General features: G+C 45.9%; 2 pseudogenes, besides 2 other annotated features; both read left to right on the top strand.

Annotated features, from left to right (window-relative positions):
- On the top strand, nt 3,289-4,453 carry OR7E83P (olfactory receptor family 7 subfamily E member 83 pseudogene; annotated as a pseudogene).
- On the top strand, nt 12,376-12,742 carry VPS51P18 (VPS51 pseudogene 18; annotated as a pseudogene).
- Nucleotides 19,146-19,645: an enhancer, noted in NCBI's record as "H3K4me1 hESC enhancer chr4:9530310-9530810 (GRCh37/hg19 assembly coordinates)". NCBI's record gives its function as "activates a minimal SCP1, AML or CMV promoter by ChIP-STARR-seq in naive H9 embryonic stem cells {active_cell/tissue: H9 hESC(naive)}" and the evidence as "EXISTENCE:reporter gene assay evidence [ECO:0000049][PMID:30033119]".
- Nucleotides 19,646-20,158: an enhancer, noted in NCBI's record as "H3K4me1 hESC enhancer chr4:9530811-9531311 (GRCh37/hg19 assembly coordinates)". NCBI's record gives its function as "activates a minimal SCP1, AML or CMV promoter by ChIP-STARR-seq in primed H9 embryonic stem cells {active_cell/tissue: H9 hESC(primed)}" and the evidence as "EXISTENCE:reporter gene assay evidence [ECO:0000049][PMID:30033119]".

The following is a 20,871-nucleotide window of genomic DNA, read 5'->3' on the forward strand; positions in this document are numbered from 1 at the left end:
CCCAGCCCTGGGGCTACCCGATCTGACAAAGCCTTCTCCATTGTATGCATCAGAGAGAGAAAAGATGGCAGCTGGACTTTGAACCCAAACTGTGGGGCCCTGGCCGAGGCCGGTGGCCTGCCTCTCTCTACAACTAGACGGGGTTTCTAAAGGATGGCCCCCCTGTTGGAAGGCCTTGGCAGCAACTGCCCTGCGAGTACAAGAAGCAAATAAGCTGACTCTTGGGCAGAACCTGAAGAGAAAGGCCGCCCATGCTGTGGTGACTTTAATGAATACTAAAGGACATCATTGGCTAACGAATGCCAGACTCACCAAGTACCAAATTTTGCTCTGTGAAAATCCCCGTATAACCATTGAAATTTGTAACAGCCTACATCCCGCCACCTTGCTCCCGGTATCAGAGAGCCCTGTCGAGTCTGGTTGTGTAGAAGTGTTGGACACAATTGACTCTAGCAGACCTGACCTCCAGGGCCAGCCTTGGCCATCAGTAGACTGGGAACTATACGTGGATGGGAGCAGCTTCTTCAACCCCCAAGGAGAGAGAGGTGCAGGGTATGCAGTGATAACCCTGGACACTGTTGTTGAAGGCAGATCATTGCCCCAGGCCACTTCAGCCCAGAAAGCTGAACTCATTGCTTTCATTCGGGCCTTAGAACTCAGTGAGTATGAGACTGTCAACATTTACGCTGACTCTCGGTATGTCTTTTGAACCCTTCAAGTACATGGAGCGTGATAGAAAGAAAAGGGCCTATTGAACTCTGGGGGAAAAGGCATAAAATATCAACAGGAAATCTTGCAATGATTAGAAACAGTATGGAAACCCCACAAGGTGGCAGTTATATATTGCAGAGGACACCAGCGAGCTTCCACCTTGCTGGGTTTGGGGAATTCCCGCGCTGACTCAGAGGCTCGAAAAGCAGCATCTGCCCCCTTCTGGGCATCAGTGCTCCCTCAAGCACCTGATCTTGGACCTACTTCTTCTAAAGAAGAAAAGGACTTTCTCCAAGTAGAGGGAAGGACAAGTGATGGAGGAAGGATGGATTCGGTTACCAGATGGGAGAGTAGCTGCGCCACAGCTGCTAGGAGCTGCAGTTGTACTGGCTGTGCAAGAAACCACCCATCGAGGTCAGGAGTCACTGGAAAAGTTGTTAGGCCGGTATTTCTACATCTCGCCTTTGTCAGCCCTTGCCAAAACCGTGAGGCAGCGATGTGTTACCTGCTGACAGCATGATGCGAGGCAAGGTCCAGCCATTCCGCCCGGCATACGAGCTTATGGAGCAGCCCCCTTTGAAGGTCTCCAGGTGGACTTCACAGAGATGCCAAAGTGTGGAGGTAACAAGTATGTACTAGTTCTTGGGCGTACCTACTCTGGGTGGGTGGAGGTCTGGGTCTTCCTCCCCAAATCTGGATGTTAGCAACGAGATCACAGTGGGGGTGTACACACCCTGCGACATTGGAAGTAATATGATCCTCTCCCCACCTGGATACTGGGAAAGATACCACAGCGCGGGTATACGTTTCCTACTCTGTTGCGAGTAATATCATTCTTTTCCTTTCTGGATATTAGGGAGAATATCACAGGGGTGCTGTACAATTACTTTGACATTGGGAGTAACATCATCCTCTATTTTCCTGGACATTGGGCACAAAAACACAAAAGGGTGTACAACCCCTGCGATATTGGGAGTAATAGCATACTCTCCATCCTTGGATGTTAGAAAACAATATCATCAGGGCTGAACACCCCCCGCGATAATGGGAGTCATGGTTACTCTTTCACAGGCCATTTGGAACAATATCAGAGGGGGTGTTTACACACAGGGGTGGTGTACACCCCCTGTGATATTGGGCGTAACATGATTCTCTCCACCTCCGGATATTAAGAACAATATCCCGGCGAGACGTGGTACACCCCTAGTGATATTGGGAATAATGTCATCCTCTCCTTCCCTGGATATTAGGAATAATATCACAGGGGGTTGTACACCTTCTGTGATATTAGAAGCAATATCATCCTCTCCCCCACTAGATATTAGAAAAAAAATCACTCACGGTGTACACCCACTGTGATATGAGGAGTAATATCTTCCTAGGGTATTACGAATAATTTCACTGTCTGTACACACATGGTGTACACTCACTGTGATATTAGGAGTAATGTCTACCTAGTAGATAACAAATAACATCGCAGTGTGTACACCCACTTTGATATTAGCTGTAATATTTTTCTAAGTTGTTACAAATAAGATCACAGGGTGTACCAACATGGTGTACACTCACCTTGATATTAGGAGTCTTATCTCTGTAATATATTATGAATAATATCACAGGGTGTACACCCACTGTATTATTAGGAGTAATATCTCTGTAGGATATTACAATTAAGTTCACAGGGTGTAGAGCCAGCGTGATATTAGGAGCAATATCTTTCTAGGATATTACAAATAATATCAGAGGGTGTACGCCCATTCTGCTGTCTGGAGCAATATCTCCCTAGGATATCAAAAATCCTATCACAGGGTGTCCAATCTCTGTCTTCCAGGTTCTAAGGGATTCTCCTGCTTCAGCCTCCCGAGTAGCTAGGGTTACCCGCCACCATGCCCGGCTAATGTTTTTTTATTTTCACTGGAGACGGGGTTTCACCACGTTGGCCAGGCTGGTCTGGAACTCCTGACCTCAGGTGATCCATCAGCCTCAGCCGCCCAAAGTGCTGGGTTTACAGGTGTGAGCCATGGTGCTGGGCCAAGAGTTATATATTCAATTCATTTGGAAACTCAGCTCCCGTCTTTGAGTGTGTATGTACTTTTATGAAGAAATGGTGTCAGAAAACCGAAGGATGATAATAAATACAAAAAGTAACAGGCATGTGAAAAGGTCTTCCGATTGATAACTATAAGGTTTGATTTCGTTTTCAGATAATGGGGTCCTAGCTCTTGTGTCGTCCTTTTACATATTCTACATCAATGGAAGTTGTAGCACGGTGTCAGAATAAAGTAGAGTGTATTTCATGGCTTCTTAATTTTTTCAATTAGACTGAGATGTTTTTCCTAAAGAGAGAAGGATATTGTCATGGCATTGTATTTTTTCTGAAAAGAGTAGGCCGTATTTTACTGAGATCACGGATTTGTTATATATGACGTTTTGGTCTTCTAATATTCTTCAGTGGATTTTCTCTAAAGTAGTATGTACAGAAAGCCTTGTATAGCAAAAAAGTAAATCACGTAATAATTCTGAGATTTTTTGGAATTGTCATAACTGAGAAACATTGCTGGCGATGTATGGTCCGCAAGTGTGAAACTGTTCCTTGTGAATTGCTTGCATCCAGCATTAAAGGCTGGTTTTTATCGTTTATTTTTCCAATCCTCTTTCCTTCTCAAGGTGTCCAAGACACACAGAGCCACGGAATCTCACAGATGTCTGAGAATTCCTCCTCCTGGGACTCTCAGAGGATCCAGAACTGCAACCGGTCCTCGCTTTGCTCTCCCTGTCCCTGTCCATGTATCTGGTCACGGTGATGAGGAACCTGCTCAGCATCCTGACTGTCAGCTCTGTCTCTCCCCTCCACACCCCCATGTACTTCTTCCTCTCCAACCTGTGCTGGGCTGACATCGGTTTCACCTCGGCCACGGTTCCCACGATGATTGTGGACATGCAGTCGCATAGCAGAGTCATCCCTCATGCGGGCTGCCTGACGCAGATGTATTTCTTGGTCTTTTTTGCATGTATAGAAGGCATGCTCCTGACTGTGATGGCCTATGACTGCTTTGTAGCCATCTGTCGCCCTCTGCACTACCCAGTCATCGTGAATCCTCACCTCTGTGTCTTCTTCGTTTTGGTGTCCTTTTTTCTTAGCCTGTTGGATTCCCAGCTGCACAGTTGAATTGTGTTACAATTCAACATCATCAAGAATGTGGAAATCTCTAATTTTGTCTGTGACCCCTCTCAACTTCTCAAACTTGCCTGTTCTGACAGCGTCATCAATATCATTTTCATATATTTCGATAGTACTATGTTTGCTTTTCTTCCCATTTCAGGGATCCTATGGCTTACTATAAAATCGTCCCCTCCATTCTAAGGATTTCATCGTCAGATGGGAAGTATAAATCCTTCTCCACCTGTGCCTCTCACCTAGCAGTTGTTTGCTGATTTGATGGAACAGGCATTGGCATGTACCTGACTTCAGCTGTGTCACCACCCCCCAGGAATGGTGTGGTGGCGTCAGTGATGTACGCTGTGGTCACCCCCATGCTGAACCTTTTCATCTATAGCCTGAGAAACAGGAACATACAAAGTGCCCTGCGGAGGCTGCGCAGCAGAACAGTCGAATCTCATGATCTGTTCCATCGTTTTTCTTGTGTGGGTGAGAAAGGGCAACCACATTAAATCTCTACATCTGCAAATCCTGCCTCTTAGTCACATTCTTTTTGTGGCTGATGGCTTTTATTCCTTTCCGCATTTCCTTTGTGAATATTGCTTTCTTCGTTATGCCTTTCACTGGAATGGGTGAAGATTCTGGGACCCTTTGTTTTGCAGAAACCTCATGACAGAATCCTCTATACCTAGGCGGCCTCCTTTAGTTTCTGAACAACAACCTTGTCATCCAGGTGGAATCACAACCATCTTTTTATATACACGAAGTCCTCACTTCGTTTTGGAATTCCCTGAAAACTGACTTTATGGAAAAAATGTACAGGAGGTCCTCCAACACAATTGGTTGTTCAAAGTTGTGTAGTTATACTGTTGGTGAAAAATAAGTGGTTTCACTATACATAATTTTGCTTCAAGGTGAAGTTTCCAAGAGACTTTCAAAGATGTTAAGTGAGGACATACTGTACATCAAATTCATATCCTCTTCCACAGTTCATGTGGAATTTCTTTATAAACTGCTTCTAGAGAATCTATTTAGGCAGGTTAAGTGTAGAGATCCATGTCGCCGTTCTCAATCTTGGTTTTGAGTCAACTCACCTGGGGAGCTTACAAATGATGAGGCCTGGGTCTCAATACCTGAGATTCAGATTTCCTTGCACCTGTGTGAGTATGTGGATTTTTTTTTTTTTTTTTCTTTTAAAGCACCACAGGTGGTTCCAATGATGAAGTTTTTAGAGGCATCAAGCTCCAATGAGTGAGAACAGAAATTAATTGTAATATGATTTCTTCAATTATTATCTTCAAATGCATTGTCCATCAACACCATACAAATGTTTATTATGCTGTTTTTTCTTACCATTTCGCATTTTCTATTTCTTTCTTTTCCTAATTTTTTGAGTCAGAGTTTCACTCTTGTTGCCCAGGCTGGAGTTCAATGTCACGGTCTCGGCTCACTGCAACCTCTGCCTCCCGTATTCAAGCAATTCTCCTGTCTCAGCCTTCTAAGTAGCTGGGATTACAGGCAAGCGCTAACATGCCTGGATAATTTTTTTTTTTTTTTTGTATTGTTAATAGAGACAGTGTTTCTCCATTTTGGTCAGGCTGGTCTTGAACTCCCGACCTCAGGTGATCCGCCCGCTTCCGCCCCCCAAAGTGCTGGGATGACAGGCATGAGCGACCGCGCCCAGCCACCACTCAGCATTTACATTTTACATTTGTTGAAGTTGTAGATTTATACACACATTGACTGCTGCTTTGTGGTACACTTGCATATACATAAGATGGGAAATAGAAAAGAATAAAATGGGCACAGTATCCCTGAAGTTTCACATTCTGAGACATTTAAAAAATATTTGCTCTTCAGAAATTTGTTTCAATGAAGAAACTGTGGTATACACACCCAGTGAAGTATTATTCAGCCTAAAAGGGAAGAAACTCCTCTCCGCTGCAGACAAAATGGATGAGATTGCAGGTATTTATATTAAATGAAATAAGCCAGGTACAGAATGACAAATATTTCATGTCCTCACTTCTATGTAGGAAGGAAAAAGGACACCTTGGCCAGGTGTGGTGGCTCAGGCCTGTAATCCCAGTACCCTGGGAGGCCGAGTTGCACGGATCACTTGAGTCCAGGAGTTCGAGACCCGCCTGGCCAACATGGTGAAACCCCGTCTCTACGGAAAACACAAGCAATGAGCCGGGCTTCGTGATGCGTGCCTGTAGTCTCAGCTACTCAGAGGGCTGAGGCCCAAGAAGCGCTTGAACTCGGGAGGTGTAGCTTGCAGTGAGCCCAGATTGTGCCTGCGTACTCCAACCTGGGCAACAGAAAGAGACTCCATCACACACCTACACACAAAAGGAATCTCAGGAAGATGGAAAGTATAAAGGTGATCAGAAGATGCTAGGAAGAAAAGGGGTGGGATAGGGAATGAAGACAAGTGGATAATTGGGTCCCAAAATACAGAAAGATGGAATAAGTGAGTTCTAGTGTTTGATAGTACAGTATGAAAATTTTAGTTCACAAGAACTGCTTGCATATTTCCAGATGCTTTGGTAAGAAGCTTCCTAACTTTCTCATTATGCTGGTTTTTAAGCTCTTCTCTTTCTGCTCTTGAAATCATGCTGGTTTTTTGTTTTTTGTTTTTTGTTTTGAGATGGAGTTTCGCTCTTGTTGCCCAGGCTGGAGTGTCATGGTGCAATCTTGGCTCACCGCAACCTCTGCCTCCTGGGTTCAAGCGATTCTCCTGCCTCCAGCTCCCGAGTAGCTGGGATTACAGGCATGTGCCAGAACGCCCAGCTAATGTTGTATTTGTAGTAGAGACGGGGGTTTCTCCCTGTCGGTCAGGCTGGTCTTCAACTCCTGATCTCAGGTGATCCGCCAGCCTCGGCTTCCCAAAGTGATGGGATTACAGGCATGAGCGCGCCCGGCCCATGCTGTATCCTTACCTGTTGTCTGTTGTTGTTTGTTTCTGTTGGAGCCCAGAAATAACTTCTCACCTATATGTTCAAATGATTTTCCACATGAGTGCTAAGAAAGCTCAATGGTGGAAAAGCAGCCTTTTCAATAAATGGTGTTGGAGAAACTTGATTTCCACATGCAGAAGAATGAAGGTGGACCCTATGTCACACCAGGTGCAAAAATTGACACAAACTGGATCAAAGACCTCACCCCAAGCGCTAAAAGTATCATACACCTAAAAGAAAACATTGGCCACACTTTCATGACATCAGATTGGGCAATGTTCTCTGGGATATGACACCAAAAGCATAGGCAACAAAAGAAAATTAGATTCCTTGGATTACATCTAAATGACAGATAGTTTTGTGCAGCAAAAAAACACTGTGAACTGAGTGAAAAGATAACCCATGGATTAGGAAAAAGATTTGCAAAACATATATCTGAAAAGAGGCTGATAGCCATCATATATAAAGAACAGCTAGAACTAAACAACAAGAAACCCAAAGCATCCCATCAACAATGGTCAGAAGACTCGAGTAGACGTGTTCCTAAAGAAGATATAGCAATGGCCAATAAGCATCTAAAATGATGTTCAAAGTCACTCATCATAGGGAAGCGCAAATCAAACCAAGAATGTGATACCACACATTAGGATGGATATGATAAACAAACAAGCATTGGTGAGACTAGAGGGAAGTAAGAATGCTCGAATATGATCGGAGGGAATGTAAAACCGTGAAGGAACGGGGAAAGTAGTATGGCGTCTACTGGAAAAATCGAAAAAGAATGATCAGATGTTCCCGCAGTTTCATTTGTGGGTACCTACCAAAAAGAATTAGAAGCCAGGAGTGGAAGACAGATTTGTGTACACCCATATTCATAGCAGCATTATTCACAACAGCCAAAATGTGGAAGCAACCCAAGGGTTCGTGGACAGATGAATGAAAAAGCACACTGCAGTTCCTTCATACAATGGAAGGCTATTCAGCCTTCAAAAGGCAGGCATTTCTGGCCGGTGCGGTGGCTCACGCCTGTAATCGCAGTGTCTTGGAAGACTGAGGTGGGCAGATCACCTGAGGTCAGGAATTCAAGACCAGCCTGGTCATCTTGGTGAAACCCTGTCTCTACTGAAAATGCAAAAAATGAGACGAGCGTGGTGGCGTGTACCTATAGTCCCAACTACTCGGGAGGCTGAGGCACAAAAATCGCTGGAACCCGGGAAGCGGAGGTTGCAGTGAGCCCAGATTGTGCCACTGCACTCCAGCCTGTGCGACAGAGTGAGACTCCATGGAAACACAAAACAAAACAAAGTCAAACGAACAAACAAACAAAAAACAAACCAAAAAAAAAAAAAAAACAGAGAGGCACTTCTGACGCAGGCCGCAATGTTGATGAACCTTACAAACATTATCGTCAGTGAAATACATGAATCCCAAAAGGATAAACTCGCCGAGGCTCAGTGGCTCGCACCTGTAACCCCAGCACTTTGGGAGGCTGAGCCAGGCGGATCACTTCAGGTCAGGATTTCGAGACAAGCCTGGCCAATATGGTCTCTATTTAAAATACAAAAATTAGCTGGGCGTGGTGGCGCACGCCTGTAATACCAGCTACTCGGGAGACTGAGACAGAAGAATCGCTTGAACCCACGATGTGGAGGTTACAGTGAGCCGAGATCACGCCACTTCACTCCAGCCTGGGTGACAGAGAAAGACTCTGTCTCCAAAACAAGAAAATTAAACACGGTATGATTCCACTTATCTATCAAGTGTCTAGAGTAGTTAAACTCATAGAGTTGCAAAGTAGAAACGTGGCCCCCAGGGGTGGGCGAGAGAGAGGAGTGGAGAGCTTGGTAAATGGGTGCAATTTCCATTTTGAAAGATAAAACTGTTCCAGAGACAATGACGGTGATGGTTGCTAAACAATGTGAACGTACTTAATGTCATGAAACTGTAAACTGAAAAAGAGGGGAAATTGTAAATGTTTATACTGGCCATTCTATATGAACTAATATATATTTATAATTTTTAATATTTACACGTGGTATATTTTCCCATAATAAGAGACTAAAATTAAAGCAGTTGGATGTTTCAAAAGAAAAGAAAGAAGTGAAGAATACACACCAGCTTTCTCCTGATTAGAGGAAGAGCCCCAAACTTCTATGGACACTCACTTTTCTCTTCTTCTTCTTGCATTGTTATGAGGAAATCCTTCTTGGTTGGGGAACTTGGGCGACTTTGGCTAATGAGGAGCTCTGTGCCTTAAGCCCCCAGGGCACAGAATAGTAAATAGTCAGTCTGTGCCTCCAGCCCTGCAGTGTGAAGTTTCAGTCCTGTGGGCTCCACAGACATCACCTGTATCAGGAGGCTCATGTCTTACCCTGTCTTCTTGCCAGCCTCAAGGATGGAGTCTGAGCCTCCATGGTGCTCCATGCAGGGAGGTCAGTGGACCTGTTCTGCTAGGTCACGGCCCAGTAGAGGGGAAGGGCAGTTCAGTGAGTGTAGGCAAAAGAAAGAGCGATCAGACTCTTACTGTGTCTATGTAGAAAGGAAAGACATAAGAGACTCCATTTTGAAAAAGACCTGTACTTTCAACAATTTCTTTGCTGAGATGTTGTTAATCTGTAGCTTTGCCCCAGTCACTTTGAACAAACCACTTTGACCCAACCTGAAGCTCACAAAAGCATGTGTTGTATGAAATCAAGGTTTAAGGGATCTAGGGCTGTGCAGGACGTGCCTTGTTAACAAGATGTTTCCAAGCAGTATACTTGGTAAAAGTCATCGCCATTCTCTAGTCTCAATAAACCAGGGGCACAATACACTGTGGAAAGCCTCAGGGAGCTCTGCCCTTGAAAGCTCCGTATTGTCCAAGGTTTCTCCCCATGTGATAGTCTGAAAAGTGGCCTCGTGGGAGGAGAAAGACCTGACTGTCCCCGAGCCCGACACCAGTAAAGGGTCTGTGCTGAGGTGGATTAGTCAAAGAGGAAAGCCTCTTGCAGTTGAGAGAGAGGAAGGCCCCTGTCTCCTGCCTGCCCCTGGGAACTGAATGTCTCGGTATAAAACCCGATTGTACATTTGCTCAATTCTGAGATGCGAGAAAAACCGCCCTATCGCGGGAGGTGAGACATGTTTGCATCAATGCTGCCTTGTTATTCTTTACTCCACTGAGATGTTTGGGTGGAGAGAAACATAAATCTTGCTTAGAGACACGTCCAGTCATAGTAACTTCCCTTGAACTTCCTTATGACTTAGATTGTATTGCTCACATGTTCGTTGCTGACCTTCTCCTTATTATCACCCTGCGCTCCTTCTACATTCCTTTTTGCTAAAATAATAAAAATCATAATCAATAAAAACTGAGGGAACTCAGAGGCCTGTGCCGGTTCAGATCCTTGGTATGCTGAGCGCCGGTCCCCTAGGTCTACTGTTGTTTCTCCATACTTTGTCTCTGTGTCTTATTTCTTTTCTCAGTCTCTCGTCCCACCAGACTAGAAATACCCACAAGTGTGGAGCGGCAGGCTACCCCTTCAAGTGAGTGCTGAGGGACGGTCGGGAGGCTTGTTTGTTTCCTCCTCCTCAGGACAAACAGGAGAATGCGCTGGGCAGATGTGAGGAGACCAATATGCAAACTCTGTGCTCAGCAGACTGTGGAGTTTCTGTTCTTGGTTGTGCTGGGGGGTCTCAGAAATCTTATTCAAAATTTTCCTTTCCTCCCCCACTGGTTGTCCTTTTCATAGACATCTCACCCATGATAGCAGGGAATCAGTCCCTCTAAATTATTCCCTAAAACAACAAAGAGATTATGAAGGTGATGATGAGGATAAAGAGGATGACGACAGACACCATGGCATCATGAACCCTTACTGAGGGCTTCCTAAAGGCCAGGCTCTGAGCTCTGTGCTCTATGCAGCTGGTTTCATTTCATCTGCATAGTCTCCACGTTATTAGTGCACATTTCATGATGATTTTACAGACCAGAAAAGGCGCAACAGATTTTCAAGTAGCTTGTACCAGATCACGAAGTCACAAAGGGTGAAGTCCAATTTGAACCAGGCAGTCTAAGTCCAGACACAAGGCATTTGGCCAGTCCTCTCCCTGCAGCCAACCTGACCTCTCAAATCCTCGTCACTCAGGCCGATGGCCCTGCTCACCGTGCCCTTCCCTTTGGGGGTTCCTTGTAGACCACAGCTAGACCAGTGGGTGCCACAATCACTGTGTCATGTATAGAAAGGGCAGCTGAGATCACATCAAGGATTCCAGAAAGAATTGGCACAGGATCATTCGGGACGCATCCCTCCCTTGCCCCTGTTCCTGGCTTTCGTTACAGCTCTCGACTTCCTCAAAGGAGTCATCAATTCGGAATTTGGCTTCCATTCCTATTGAGGAAGCTGGAAAGCATTTCAAAAATGCTCCTCTGATGTGCCTGTGCTTAAGACCTCTGAGCTCTGCTTAAAACTTTTGGAAGCTGGGCGCGGTGGCTCACGCATGTAATCGCAGTCCTTTGGGAGGCTGAGGCAGGCGAATCACAACGTCAGGAGTTCGAGACCAGCCTGGCCAACATGGTGAAACCCTGTCTCTAATAAAAATACAAAAAAAAAAAAAAAATTAGCCAGGCATGGGGGCGTATGGCTGTTAATCCTAGCTACTGGGGAGGCTGAGGCAGGAGACTCATTTGAAGCCGGGAGACAGAGGTTGCAGTGAACCGAGATCACGCCACTGCACTCCAGCCTGGGCAACAGAGCAAGACTCTGTCTTAAAAATAAAATAAATAAAAATTACGAAAAAATGTGCTTGGATGGGCTTGGCAAACTTTAGCCATTAGCTCACGTACCACTTTGGAAGGGCATACCTTTAGTCACTTCACCCTTTAATCCCTTTGCTCAAGACTAAAGTTCCGAGAGGAAGTCTAATTGACTGAGTTGTGTCCATGTGGGCAGTGCAGGAAAGGGTGCAATGGGAGGCGGCTCCAGGGACGTCTTTGGCTTCCATCATGGGGGAGCAAGCGCCTGGATTATCCACCCTAACAAATCTGGACAAAGGAAAACGAGGTTCTCTGAGGAAGGAGACATAGAGCCCAAGGAGCTAACCAAGAGACTAATAGTCATCCTGTCTTGTCATTTTCTTTTACACATGTGTGTGCATTATCTTACACTTATCACTTTGTTTTCTTTCTCTCCTTTAATTGCACCCTGTTGCCAAAAGTTAAAATAAAATGAAAGTATTGAGATAGCTCAGTAACTGACTTTTGGTCAATTGCCTTTTCATATAGTGAACAGCTGCCCAAACTATTGTCTCTGTCACTGTGCAAATTTGCAAGCGTTTGCATGATAACTCCCAATCCCCCAACACAGGGCTGTGTTACAGCACAATTTAATTCAGTGTTTTGCTCTCTGCAACAGGGAGGTTCTCATCCATTACAGGTTGCAGTAAAAACAGGGGTACCATAAGCAACCACCTCTTTCCTCAACGATGTGATGAAAGCAAAAGCCAAGTAGCTCCATATATCCAACTTAAAAATATAAAAAGTTACGCCCCTGGGCTGCAGTTGGAGCTATGGCGGCAGTAGCTGTCAGTGCGCCTAGCCCGGCGTGTGGACCTGGGGACCCACCAGAAGGGCCCGATGTGGAGTCTCACGGAGCGTCGGCGGAAGGCGCACAGGATGCTAAAGCTTTACAACGGCCTTTGGGAAGGGGAGGCTGTGGGACTCCCCACAGGGCCCGACCCCCTGGACCCCACTGATCTGAACGGGGCGCACTTCGACCCGGAAGTTTACCTAGACAAGCTGCCTAGAGAGTGCCCTCTGGCCCAGCTGATGGACAGTGAGACAGACATGGTGCAGCAGATCCGGGCTCTAGACAGCGACGTGCAAACCCTGGTATATGAGAACTACGATAAGTTCATCCCAGCCACAGAAATTGACAAACAACATAAAACTGTATGAGGAATTGCAGGAGACCCAGAATTTCCCAAATAACCTTGTAAAAGAAGAACAAAGTTGGAAGACTCACACACACAAATATATATATATATATATATATATATATATATAAAGTTGTGTTTTCGTTCAGTTGTAAATGTTTAGTAATTTCTATTGTGATTTTTCATTTAACTCATGAAAGGATGTTTTTAATTTTCCTAATGTATGCTTGTGTTTAGCTATCTTCTTGCTGTTGACTTCTAATTTTGTTGCATTATGGTCAGGAAAATGTGGTCTGGACAATGTCAATCGTATAGTGGATTTTGTTGAGACTTCTTTATGGCCTAATATGTGGCCAGTTTTTTTTTTTTTTTTTTTTTGCAAATTTGCCACGTTGTTAAAAGGAATGTGGATTTTTTTTTTAGGAGAGTTTTTATTTTTAAATAGATAAGTTTCTCAGTGTAATTGAAATCTAGCTTCAATTAACAATATGCTAGATCTCTCAAACCTTAAGATGTTAGTCAGTGTAACAGCAGACTGCTGCTGAGACCAATAAACCCTGAACTCTCAGTGGGTTGGCATTCATAGCATAGTCTGGTGCAGGGCAGGTGTTCTCCTTGGGGGCCCTTGTCCAACAGTGATTCAGAGATTCTGGAGGTTTCCATCTTTTAATTCTGCCATCTCAGAGTTTTTCACTTGTAGCCATATGGATAGGAAGAGAGGGAACATAGCTCACCCTTGCCTTTGATAACCTTGGCCTGAAGTTATTTCTTACATTCCTATTGGTGGAAATGCAGTCACATGGTTCCAAACTAACTGCAAGTAAGGCTGGGAAATGTAGTCTTTCTGCATATCCAGGAAGAGGAATGGTGTGAACACAGCATTGTCTTTGACACACTAAACATGTGCTGAAGAGTTCTTACTCTTAGAGGAGGTTTGTCTGTCCTGTGTAACTTTCTCAGTTTTTGTTTAGATAGTTTCAGGCAATGTTGTTTGGTGCGTTCAGCTTGATGATTATTATGTCCTATTGGCAAAGTAGTCAAGATTCCCATCAGTCTGAATGAAAGTGTTTTACAGATAGGTCAGGAAATGTTAATACTTTAAAAGGCCCTTCTATTCCTCCACTCTACAGATAAGAACAACAGAGTCCTAGAGAGAGGAGGTCATGGGTCTCACTCATGAGTGGCAGAATTGAAACCAACATGGTAGTAACTTTGCCTTTCCCCCATCATGTTGTTCTCACTCTATCTTCAATCTGCTGATTTCTTCACTTGCTCCATACAGACCTCCCAGTGCCAAGTGTATAAGTGTGTCTGGAATTGGTGGGTTCTTGGTCTCACTGACTTCAAGAATGAAGCCACGGACCCTCCTGGTGAGTGTTACAGTTCTTAAAGGTGGCGTGTCTGGAGTTTGTTCCTTCTGATGTTCAGATGTGTTTGAAGCTTCTTCCTTCTGGTGGGGTTCGTGGTCTCACTGGCTCAGGAGTGAAGCTGCAGAACTTCATGGTGAGTGTTACAGCTCTTAAGGCTGCACGTCTGGAGTTGTTCATTTCTCCCAGTGGGTTCATGGTCTCACTGGCTTCAGGAGTGAAGCTGCAGACCTTCTTGGTGAGTGTTACAACTCATAAAGGCAGTGTGGACCCAAACAGTGAGAAGCAACAAGATTTATTGCAAAGAGCGAAAGAACAAAGCTTCCACAGTGTGGAAGGGGACCCCAGCAGGTTGCCACTGCTGGCTCGGGCAGCCTGCTTTTATTCTCTTACCTGGCCCCACTCACATCCTGCTGATTGGTCCATTTTACAGAGAGCCTGAGTGGTCTGTTTTGACAGGGCACTGATTGGTGCGTTTACAATCCCTGAGCTAGACACAAAGGCTCACCACATCCCCACTAGATTAGCTAGATTCAGAGTGTCCACACAAAGGTTCTCCAAGTCCCCACCATAGTAGCTAGATATAGAGTGTCAATTGATGCATTCACAAACCCTGAGCTAGACACAGGTTGCTGATTGGTGTGTTTACAAACCTTGAGCTAGATACAGAGTGCCGACTGGTGTATTTACAATCTCTTAGCTAGACATAAATGTTCTACAAGTCCCCACCAGACTCAGGAGCCCAGCTGGCTTCATCCAGTGGATCCCGCACAGGAGCTGCAGGTGGAGCTGCCTGCCAGTCCCTCTCCATGCGCCCACACTCCTCAGCCCTTGGGTGGTCGATGGGACTGGGCACCATGGAGCAGGGGGTGGTGCTCATCAGAGAGGCTCGGGCCACGCAGGAGCCCACGGAGGGTGGAGGCTAAGGAATGGCGGGCTGCAGGTCCCGAGCCCTGCCCCACGGGGAGGCAGCTAAGGCCCGGCGAGAAGTCGAGCACAGCAGCTGCTGGCCCAGGTGTTAAGCCCCTCACTGCCCGGGCATGCAAGGCTGGTCGGCAGCTCCTAGTGCGGGGCCACCAAGCCCACGCCCACCCAGAACTCCAGCCGGCAGGCAAGCAGCATGCGTAGCCCCAGTTCCAGCTCATGCCTCTCCCTCCACACCTCCCTGCAAGCTGAGGGAGCCAGCTCTGACCTTGGCCAGCCCAGAAAGGGGCTCCCACCATGCAGCTGTGGGCTGAAGGGCTCCTCAAGTGCCGCCAAAGTGGGAGCCCAGGCAAAAGAGGCGCTGAAAGTGAGCGAGGGCTGTGAGGGCTGCCAGCATGCTGTCACCTCTCATAAGGAGTGATTAATCTGAGCTTCTCCAGAAAGTCCATTCCTGGTAGGCACTGGGAATAGGAAATCTCAGAGTATAGAAAACATCAAGTGGTAGCACTTTTGTGAATGGCTCCCAAATTAGATCCTTTACCTTTTTTTTCATGAAGCACAGTTGCACAAAACACGCTTAGCCTGAGATGAAGCACATATTAGAGAAAAGTTCTCTCTATAACATTATGTATTACTCAAATGAGCGTTAAAAAGAGGAGATGGGACACGCTCTCTCTAGCTATTATTACCTCCATCATACAGTTGATATACACAAGGTCATTATTGCATTATGCTTTATTCAACAAAATAACTTTAATGTTGAAGCTTAAATTGAATTTGTTAAAACATCTTTGTCTCCAGCATAATGTGCCTCAAGTGTCTTCTTGGTGCCTGAATTTTCTCCAGAATTATAGTGCTGAAGCTATGGAAATGGTGAAATTATATGCAATCTGCAAAACAATGTGGCTATAAAGTGGTAATTGGCCTTCCACATAATTAAAGGAACATTTCCTCATCAGAGCTGTTCCATCAGAGACCCAAATGCTATCGTTGTACAAATCGCCCACTTAGGAAAACCTTTATTCCCAGTAGCCTATAAAAATCTGGTTATGCAAACAGATTTGCTTACTCAGTAACATTAATGGCTTCTCATATTTAAAAAGTCATCAATGCAATTGACCTATAATCTGTTTCCTCTGTGACCAAGTGTCATTTTTATTTTGACAGTTAGGAGCCTTTTGACTCTTTCACAGCTGGCATGAAAGCACAGGGAGGGAAATCTCAAAAACCAACAACCTGTGTATTCCCAGCCTATTAATCAATAGAAAATCACTCAACTGGATTGGAGTCTTGTACCTGGCAGAAAGGCTCTTATGGACATTGGAATTGGATTTTTTCACTTGATATGACACCTCCTTGAGTCAGATCAGATTCATGTTTGATAGACTCTTGCCGAAAAATTGCTCCAGGGTCTGTGCAGTAGCTAAAGTCTTTTTGTTGCTGTTGTTGTTTTAAAAGCAGCATTAAATGTTTTCATGAAGACCTTCCCAGCAGTGATGTTATTGGGAATATGGTCTTTAGCTCTGGTCCTGAATAACTCACACTGAGGAAACCTCTCACAAGTGTTTTATTGGAAGATGTCTGATGGATGGTTGGTTTTAATAACAAATCTCTTCCCTTTTTCTGTCCCCTGTGTTCTATTCTCCTTTCTCTACACATTATTCTGGGAGGATTCACCTATTCCCAAAGTCCTTTCCTCTTTATTTCCATTCCAGAGCTCTCTGTATAACTCCAGGCTGATGAATCCAACTGCCCAGTTGTTATCTCCACTTGGCTGTCTGTCTTGCATTGACCTCATCTTACCTTTCCTCTCCTGATTTCCTCTTCTGCCTGGGCTCACCACGTCAGATTCACACCACCATCCACCCAGCTTCCAAAACACCTGGGCCTCATCCTTCATTCCTCCCTCTTTCTCAGTCAAGTTAGTCTACTGTCTCCTCTCCATCCTCACTGCCACAGCCTTGGTCCAGACAACCATCTTGTCTCACTTGGTGTATTGCAGCCTCCTACCTGGTCTACTCACCTCCCACTCTCCTCCAGCCAGACTTCTCTTTTCATAGCACAAAGTGGATCATTACTCCCCTGCCTGAAAACATCTACTGTCTCCCTTTGTCTACAGGATAAACACGACAAAGAGCCTTTAAGATTTGGCTCCAACTTACCTCTACATTAGTCACTTTTTACAATTATATGAACATCTCTCAGCTCCTCACTCTCTCATGTCTCGATTTTTGCACATGCTCTTCCCTCTGCTGGGAATGATCTTCCACACCTCTCCTATCGACCTGGCTAATCCCTACCATTTTCTAGTCTTCAACTGAGGAGTCCTGTGATGGATAAGGATTTCTGACCACCTGATATAGATTGCATGCCCACCCACCTCCGAGCTTTTTTTTTTTTTTTTTTTTTTTGACGGAGTCTCGCTCTGGCCATCCAGGCTGGAGTGCACTGGCACGATCTTGGCTCACTGCAATCTCCGCCTCCCGGGTTCAAGCAGTTCTCCCACCGCAGCCTTCTGAGTATCTGGAATTACAGGTGCCCGCCACCACATCCAGCTAATGTTTTTGTATTTTTAGTAAAGACAGGATTTCACCATGTTGGCCAGGCTGTTTTCGAACTCCTAGCCTCAAGTGATCCACTCACCTTGGCCTCTCAAAGTGCTGGGATTACAGGCATGAACAACTGCACCTGGTCGATTGGGTGCCCCTTCTATGTGCTCCCATTGCCCCAGGCATACTGTCACCATAACTCTTACCAGTCTGAATTGAAAATGATTTTTTTTTTTTTTGCTTTTCATTTCTCTCATTAAATGCAAAGCTCATTGAAAAGAGGACGGTGGGTTTTCACTGTTGTACTCCTAACCTTTGACTCAGTGCCCTGAGCTCGGCTCTAGAGCTGTGCACGCATGTTCAGACATTGGAGCACATCTTGTCTGACGCCTCTTTTAGGTGGCTTGGAGAAAACTCAGTAGGTACTTCCCCAAGGATGAAACAGAAGCTTCACCTAAGTCAGGAGTTCTTCAACTTCAGCCTGCATTGGAATCCTCTGAGAGCTTGTTAAAAATACAGTCTCCTAGAGCCCACTCTTCGAGAGTCAGTGAGTTGCTTCATCATCAAAATATATACAGAATCCAGCCGGTCTTCAGCACCAGCCTGGTCTGAGCCACTGTGGACTGCCACCTGCAGAATCTCCCTGCTGGTCTCCTTGCTTCTGCTCTTACCTTCATACCATCCATTCAGGTAGCCAGGGTGATCCTTTTTAAAATTTTTTTAAATTTTTTTGAGATGAAATCTCACTCTGTTGCCCAGGCCGGAGTGCTGTGGTGCTATCTTGGCTCACTGCAGCCTCTACCTCCTGGGCTCAAGCCATCCTCCCATCTCAGCCTTCTGGGTAGCTGGGAACACAGGCAAACACCACCACACCCGGCTGATTTTTGTATTTTTTGTAAAGAGAGGGTCTTGCTATGCTGCCCACGCTAGTCTTGAACATCTGTGTGCACCCACCTCAGCCTCCTGCATTTTTAGGAAGCCCCACTTGTAGGGATTTTGATGCAGAGGCCTGGGTGCCTCATGTTTCCTCCCATCTCTCTGTCTTTCTGTCTCTGTCTCTCTCTCTGTCTCTGTCTCTCTCTCTCTCTCTCTTTCTCTTTGCCTTATAGCTGCCCTGGGGACTAGACTCTGCCTTAGGCATCCCTCTGACTCCTGTTTGCTTTTACACTGAGGCTGCTTTAAGTTGCACCTTGATCTGAAGCCTTGGGATTCTGTTCCTATTGCTTGCTTTTGTTGGAAGGGCCCTGCAACTCCTTGACAAATTGCAAAGGTGCCCACTAGTTTCCAAGTCCCCGAGAACCAAACCAGATGACAAACAAGGATGCAGCCCACAGCTGGGGAGACAGATTTCATGTCCACACAGAGACTCCAAGATGCTGAATGGAAATCCACCCCGAAACCTGTTTTCTCTCTCATTTAAGTTCAATGTCACCTGGGCGCTTGCAGGGCAGGGCTGGTGACCATTCACAGGGCAAAGATGCTTCGAAATGTCAACTGAGAATGGTGTGGTGGTTGACAGATGGCATGTCAGAACATAGATTAACATGGAAAGAGAAACTCATCCCTTGGGGGTAGTGTGTGAGGCTGGCAGCCACACAGAGGGCTTTTCCTGCGAGCTCTCGCACAGATGCAAACAGCCAGGAGGTTTTGCTTTCTGAGCCTGAGTGGAACCGTGTTCCTCCCTGCACATGGCCGCTCTGCAGCAAATGTTTATTCCTGTTGCATTGATTAAAAGTGCTTACCAGGCCGGGCGCGGTCGCTCACGCCTGTAATCCCAGCACTTTGGGAGTCCGAGACGGGTGGATCACAAAGTCAGGAGATTGAGACCATCCTGGCTAACACGGTGAAACCCCGTCTCTACTAAAAATACAAAAAATTAGCCGGGCATGGTGGCGGGCGCCTGTAGTCCCAGCTATTTGGGAGGCTGTGGCAGGAGAACGGCATAAGCCAGGGAGGCGGAGCTTTCAGTGAGCTGAGATTGCGCCACTGCACTCCAGCCTGGATGACAGAGCAAGACTCCGTCTCAAAAAAAAAAAAAAAAAAAAACTGCTTACTGAAGGGGTTTGAGGGGAGTGGTGACAGTGTGAGTTATGGCTCTGCCGGCTGCCAGTGGAGCCAGCCGCTCTGCACAGCTGTGCAAGGGTGTTTTGAAAAGTGGCTCAGCCTGCCAGGAATGACTGAGTGTAAATTTTGCTGCCACAACATCTTGTAGCCTGATTGGGGCCGTGTTTGCAGAACCCCTAAACCACTACACTTGTTCAGGCTTAAAAATAAGCTTACTTTTTTTCTTTGTTTGTTTTGTTTTGTTCTATGAGATGGAGTCTTTGTTCTGTCGCCGGGTTGGAATGCAGTGGCATGATCTCGGTCCACCGCAACCTCTGCCTCCTGGGTTCAAGTGATTCTCCTGCCTCAGCCTCCTGAGTAGCTGGGACTACAGGCGTGTGTCATCATGGCCAGCTAAGTTTTGAATTTTTAGTAGAGACGAGGCTTCACCATGTTGGCTAGGATGGTCCGATCTCTTGACCTCCTGATCTGCCCGCCTCAGCCTCCCTAAGTGCTAGGATTACAGGCGTGAGCCACCGTGCCTGGTCAAACATAAACTTATTTTCTTACCTCTTCTGTTGAACTCTATTTGCTTTTTTTCCCAAACGTCTTTATCCAGAAGAGCTTTTAGCAACAAAGTTACCCAATGACCTTCCCTAGTCTCTCCTTGCAACTGGCTCTCAGCGGTGGAGTGGGGTGGATAGGAGGAAATCCTTGACAGAACCAATTTACATGACTGTTTGGAGGACTCTCGCTAGCCCCAGGAGGTGTTTGCATTTTTAAATTGGTTACTAGTGTCAGACTGTTTCATGAGTAAGAGCACAGCTTCTAAGTTGGATGCCCTGAATTTGAATCTCAGCATTGCCTCTTTGTACATAACCAGAGGATGGATTTGGGGACCCAATGGATCTACTATGACATGAACTTGCACCAACATTCACCTGAACTCCAAAATGCCTATTCTGACTGGTAGACGCTAGTCTCGCCCTGGTGTCTCGCCCTGGTGCCAGTTCAGAGCCTGTGTCCAGTGATCCTGCACAGGTCCCATTAGTCCCTTTTCCCCTGTTCAGTCATCCTGGTAAAAGGCTGTGTATTCCTTTGGGGGCAGGCTGGGAGAAAGATTGACAGTATAAATTTTTGGCAGTGGAGCAGAGTCCTTTCTGGAGGGGACCTGGCTTCCCATTCAGACAAGGGCCTCCGGGTCTGTGAACTGGCTTATGTCTGGGAATTGTCTGGGGACTGTGACT

Source organism: Homo sapiens, chromosome 4 (genome assembly GCF_000001405.40).
Source record: "Homo sapiens chromosome 4, GRCh38.p14 Primary Assembly".
Taxonomy (NCBI): domain Eukaryota; kingdom Metazoa; phylum Chordata; class Mammalia; order Primates; family Hominidae; genus Homo; species Homo sapiens.